The sequence below is a fragment of the Homo sapiens genome, chromosome 20, assembly GCF_000001405.40.
Source record: "Homo sapiens chromosome 20, GRCh38.p14 Primary Assembly".
Lineage (NCBI taxonomy): Eukaryota > Metazoa > Chordata > Mammalia > Primates > Hominidae > Homo > Homo sapiens.
The window spans coordinates 9917440-9923282 of record NC_000020.11 but is presented as its reverse complement, the minus strand read 5'-3'; the positions used below and the strand labels follow the sequence as shown (position 1 = coordinate 9923282).

General features: G+C 38.5%; 2 annotated features.

Annotated features, from left to right (window-relative positions):
• Nucleotides 3631-3730: an enhancer, noted in NCBI's record as "active region_17540". NCBI's record gives its function as "activates an Ori minimal core promoter by ATAC-STARR-seq in GM12878 lymphoblastoid cells {active_cell/tissue: GM12878}" and the evidence as "EXISTENCE:reporter gene assay evidence [ECO:0000049][PMID:35858748]".
• Nucleotides 3741-3800: an enhancer, noted in NCBI's record as "active region_17539". NCBI's record gives its function as "activates an Ori minimal core promoter by ATAC-STARR-seq in GM12878 lymphoblastoid cells {active_cell/tissue: GM12878}" and the evidence as "EXISTENCE:reporter gene assay evidence [ECO:0000049][PMID:35858748]".

Genomic DNA, 5843 nt, shown 5'->3' with positions numbered 1-5843 from the left:
GTCCCAGCTACTCAGGAGGCTGAGGCAGGAGAATGGCGTGAACCCAGGAGGCAGAGCTTGCAGTGAGCCGAGATTGAGCCACTGCACTCCAGCCTGGGCAACAGAGTAAGGCTCTGTCTCAGAAAAAAAGAGAAAAAAAAAAGAGTTGTATGATGGGCAACAATGTGATTTTGGCATATATTTGGAAAGTTCAAGCAATTGAATGCCATTGCTGTATTAAAATCCCTTTTAATCTTATGTACTTGTTTATAAGAACAAGCTTTCACAGTAACTATATATATATATATATATACACACACACACATATGATAATACAAATAGAGTCCATGATCAGACCTATGTTCTTTTAGCAATAAATAAATATTTATGGGCCGAGTGAGATGGCTCACATTTGTAATCCCAGCACTTTGGGAGGCCGAGGTGGGCAGATTTCTTTAGCCCAGGATTTCACGACGAGCCTCGGCAATGCGGCAAACTTTGTCTCTAAAAAAAAAAAAAAAGAAAAAGAAAATTAACTGGCATGGTGTTGGACACCTGTAGTCCCAGCATCTCAGGAGGCTAAAGTGGAAGGATTTCTTGAGCCCAGGAGGTGGAGGAGGCTGCAGTGAGCTGTGATCACACCATTGTACTCTAGCCTGGGTAACAGAATGAGACCCTGTCTCAAAAAAAGAAAAAAAAAAAGAAAGAATTGTGACCTTCATAGACATCCACAAATATATGAATTGGGAAAAAGTCCCATTTATCTCATTAAGAGATGCATTTGTGATAAAATTTTGCTTTTCTGTTTAATATTTATTTATCAAAATTTGTAATAGCTTTATAATGCTTTTATCAATTGTGAATTACTAATAATTACAATTTTATTTCAATATATATTAAAATATTTCAAATTTTATGATCATCAACAAAAAATTTCAATCTGTTATATATATTTTTGGTGCTTAGAAGAATGTAGAATGACTAAAAACAACTTTCAAATATAAAATAAATTAGGATAAAACTCTGTAGGGGAATCATAATAAAAATTTGATTTCAGGTAATAAAAGAAATGATGTAAATTTTCTGACTGTCATTGGAGAATTTGTTCTTTTTGATGAATGATGCTAAATTTTAAAGTGTCATTTAGTATTAAGATTCCTTTGGGTATATTTAAAATATGATGTAAGAATGCTATTACATCATTGAATTCAATTTAAAAGTTGTGAGAGGATCTATACTTTTTCCAGATTAGTTTTGGAATATGGCAACAAAATATTTAAACAAAGCACGAAGATTGCTTGAGCCCAGGTGTTCAGAACCAGCCTGGACAACATAGTGAGACCTTGTCTCTACACAAAATAAAAAAATAGCCATGTTGTGGCACACACCTACAGTCCCAGCTACTCAGAAGGCTGAAGTGGGAGGATCATTTGAGCTTGAGAGGTTGATGCTGCAGAGAGACCCTGAGTGAGACTCTGTCTCAAATTTTATTTTAATTTGGAGAAAAGAACATTTAAATACCATTGTCTTGAGATGCCACTTATAGGGAAAAAGGCTCACGTGTGGGCAGTATTAGGGAACATACAGCATCCCAGCCGCATGTGGTAAGAATGCTTTGAAACTGGGATGGGTCATGGTAGAAGTTCCATGCAAATATCTCAGGAAAAAAAGCCCTTTGGCATACTGGCTGCCAGCACAGTCAAGCTCTCATCTCAGTTTTCATGACTCTCCAAGTGTAACTCAAGTTCCTACAATTCATGGCTCTTGCTATTATGAAAAATTATCCAAAACTTTGCATTTTCATGTCGTGCTACAATATTCTTTGATAAACCTGCCTGTGGTTCATCTGATGCTCTAGGGCAGTGTGGCCCAAGGGAACTCTCTGTGATGATGGGCATGTTCTCTATGGGAGCTGTTCCATATGGTGACCACCAGCCGTATGTGTCTGTTGAACACCTGAAACATGGCTAGTTTCGCTAAAAAACTGAAACTGTAGTGTACATGAGTTTAATTAATTTAATTTGAAGTTTAAAAAGCTACATGCAACTTGGCTACTGTATTGGATAAAACAGCTCTGGCATAATGTACCTTTTTTTGATTCACTATTTCCTATTGATTAGGGCCCAGACTGTAATAAAAAAAAGTTAAAGATTAACTTTGCAAAGACTGGTAAATTGCGAATGATTTCTGTCCTGTACTACAGGGCAATAAAACAGGACCACAATTGTATTTCCCCGTAGTACATTAACTAGTTTTCTATCTAATTAACAATCTTATTTCCACATTCTTTCACTGATAATATGTGCTTCAGTCTATTTAACCCTCCTTTGAACCAGGTTTACTGTCCCATTTTTTCTGCCATTAATGAGTTTCTGCTACAAATTGACACACCTTTCCTACATATTTATGAGGAAGTAGTGCTTTTGAAGTTTTTGGGAATTATACTCTGATGATGTATCCCATCTGACTTCACTTACTATTTACTGAGTTCTGCTAGTCCTCACATTTTGCTCCTGGCTATGATCCTGAAGCAACCGCCAATCACTTAGATTTGCGTGGGACCCAATTTCTATTTGCATTTGCTAGAGGAAAGAAAGTGGGTTTAGAAGTCAGATACAGTGGGTTAAAAATCCAGCTCTGGGCGGGGTGTGGTGGCTCATGCCTGTAATCCCAGCACTTTGGGATCACCTGAGTTTGGGAGTTTGAGACCAGCTTGACCAACATGGTGAAACCCCATCAGTACTAAAAATACAAAAATTAGCCAGGGGTGGTGGTGGATGCCTGTAATCCCAGCTATTCAGGAGGCTGAACCCGGGTGGTGGAGGTCGCAGTGAGCCAAGATCGCACCATTGCACTCCAGCCTGGGTGACAAAGAGTGAGACTCTGTCTCAAAAAAAAAAAAAAAAAAAAAAAAAAGAAAGGAAAAGAAAAAACAGCCAGCTCTGCTGCTTATATCATTGTATAACCTGAAAAAAATTATGATGGTAAATATAATAGGAACTGTCTAATATGGTTGCTATGAGGAACAAATGATGGTAATTTGCTCAGTGCACTGCCTAGCAACTGTAAGTGTTCAATGAAAATTAGCTGCTTCACTGGTTTGAAGTTTCTAGCCCTATCTCCTTTCTCCATATCCACTGGCCTTTTGCGTTGCAGAGCAACCTCATTCTGGAAGCTTTCTTCCATCCCCACTCTTTGCTGAATGGCATTTACCAAAAGTCACTGTTACGGTCTGAATTTTGTCCCTCCAAATTCATTTGTTGAAGTCCTAATCCCCATTCATTACCTCAGAATGTAACCATATTTGGAAATAGGATCTTTAAAGTGGTAATTAAGTAAAAATAAGATCATTAGGGTGGACTCTAATCCAGTGTGACTGGTGCACTTATAAGAGGAGAAAATTTGGACATAGGCATGTACAGAGGGAAGGCTCTGTAAAGACACAGGGAGGAAACGGCCATCAATGAGCCAAAGAGAGCAGCCTCAGAAAAACCCAACCTTCATGACACTTTGATCTCAGCCTCCAGGGCTGTGAGAAAATGAATTTCTGTTGTTTAAGCCTCCTAGTCTGTGGTACTTTATTACGGCAACCCTAACAAACTAATTCTGTTTAAAGATAAAATATCTATCATCTCAGTTAAAATGCAGAGTTCTGTTAATAAGAAAAATACTTTGTCTATTAATCATTTACACTATAGCATGAAGTTTAAAGGTTTAGACCAAATACTGAAGTGAAAAAAAAATAGGGAAATGAGACAGGAGACTTCGGTTTCGAAAGAATTACTGCAGAACTGTCATTCGGTTAGGGGAAAGGTCCACTGGTGGGTTGGTTTGAAGCCTCTGCTCTAGGATGGTTTTGTCCTGAAAAATTCAACTCTCTTTCTAAGGGCCTCTCATCCTTTTGCAAGCTAGCTCAGGCTTGTTCTGCTAGTGGTGGCCAGGATAGAAGAATAAAAATGAAAGTAAAGTCTCTGGAGGCCCAGCCTCAAAACTGCAACACCAGTTTTAGCTCATTCTATTCACCAAAGCTAATCCCAAGGCCAGTTCAGAGTCACTGGGTGGGAAAATCTCTTGGTAAGAAGAGTGGCAAAGTCACATTGGAAAGACAGTGGATTCAGAAAGGGGCAGAGAATTAGAATCATCTTGTAATATACTAAAATATAAGCTGATTATATATTATATTTTGATGTTTTTGGAACTTCTGCACTTTTTTTTGCATCAGTGCCTTCATAGTATATCTTTATATGTCCTTCAGACAAGATGTGCTTTGAGAGATGTGAAACGTGGAAAATTAAAAATTATGTGGGTTGAATTCTCATTCTCTTCAGTGTCCACCTAATGCAAACGGTTATTTTAAGCATGTGAGAACTGCCAACAGATAAGGAATGTGCTTGTTTTTATAAAGAAACTGAGGCTTTGATACTTTGCAGCAAGAAAGATAGCTCAGGATATGGGTGAGAATGAGGGCAGACTGAGAAATTCCTCAATGGACATCGTTTGAAAAAGCCCATACTTGAAACTAGGAAGGAAATTAGTAAGCCTACTAAATACCTGAAGGTGATATCCACGAGTCCAAGCCCAAGGGGGCATACAGAAAATCAGAGAATGACCCAGCAGGGCCAGGTGCCAACCCACTTCATTAGAGCAAAGAGTTGCACTTGGTATTGAGAAAGCTGCAGAGCAGATGTCTGCAAACTGTTTCTGTGAAGAGCAAGGCAGTATTTTTCATATGGTCAGCGGTCTTATGGTCTCTGCCATAATCACTCAACCCTGACTTTATAGTGTGAAAGCAGTCATAGACGATATGCAAATAGATGGGGTATGGTGGCTCATGCTTGTAATCCCAGCACTTTGGGAGGCTGAGACGGGAAGATTGCTTGAGCTCAGGAGTCTGAGACTGGCCTGGGCAATATAAAGAGACCCTGTCTCTACAGGCTACAGTGTAGCCTCAAACGACTGCATCACTGCACTCCAGCCTAGGTGACAGAGGGAGACACTGTCTCAAAAAAGAAAGAAAAGAAAGAAAGAAAAAAGAAGACAATACTCAAACTAATGGAGATAGCTGCATTTCCTTCATTTGCAACTTTATTTACAAAACATTATTTATAAATACACTTCATTTACAAAAATAGGTGGTGGGGCCAGATTTGGCCCATGAATCATAGTTTGCCAGTTCCTGCTCTAGAAGAACATTCTTCTGTCATTGAAAAATACATCATTGAGAATGCAAGAGACTTCTGATACTGAAGACTCAAGTAAATAAAATGAATGAGAATAATTAGCAGAAGAAAATAAGAGGCCTCTAGAAAATGCAGAAATTGAGATAACACGTACTCGAAAGATGGTTTTGGCCTATTGGGAGAGGCTAGTGATTCTACGACAACAAAGAAACAACAAATACAGAAACAAGTAAATACAGAAGAGCAACCAGGTGTTTCAGGCGTGAAGAATGTGATTCTTCCAAACAGGCCTGAAGCAATAGATCATGGGATGCCACAAGCTACATTCCCTGTAGACAGCAGGGCAACCCTGATTTTCATGAAGGGCCTTGTGAGTCAATAACTCATAGTGCCTTATCAAGAAATTGTTCATCAGCCATTTTCTTCCAGAGGGTGTTTCTTCTAGAAAGAGACAAAAAAAACGAACGACAGCACAACAGTTTTATCAAACTTTAAGACTACCTTAAAATCAATAAAGATTGTCAAATATGAACAAAAAAAGTAGCAAAGACTTTTTTGAGGAGTGAAGATCAAGATACAAAAGAAACACCCCTCTGAAGAAGGAACTGCATAAAGTTTCCAACTAGAATCTTTTCAAAAATGAATAAAATAGCCAGTGAAATGCTGGTAGGAAGTGTACTTGTT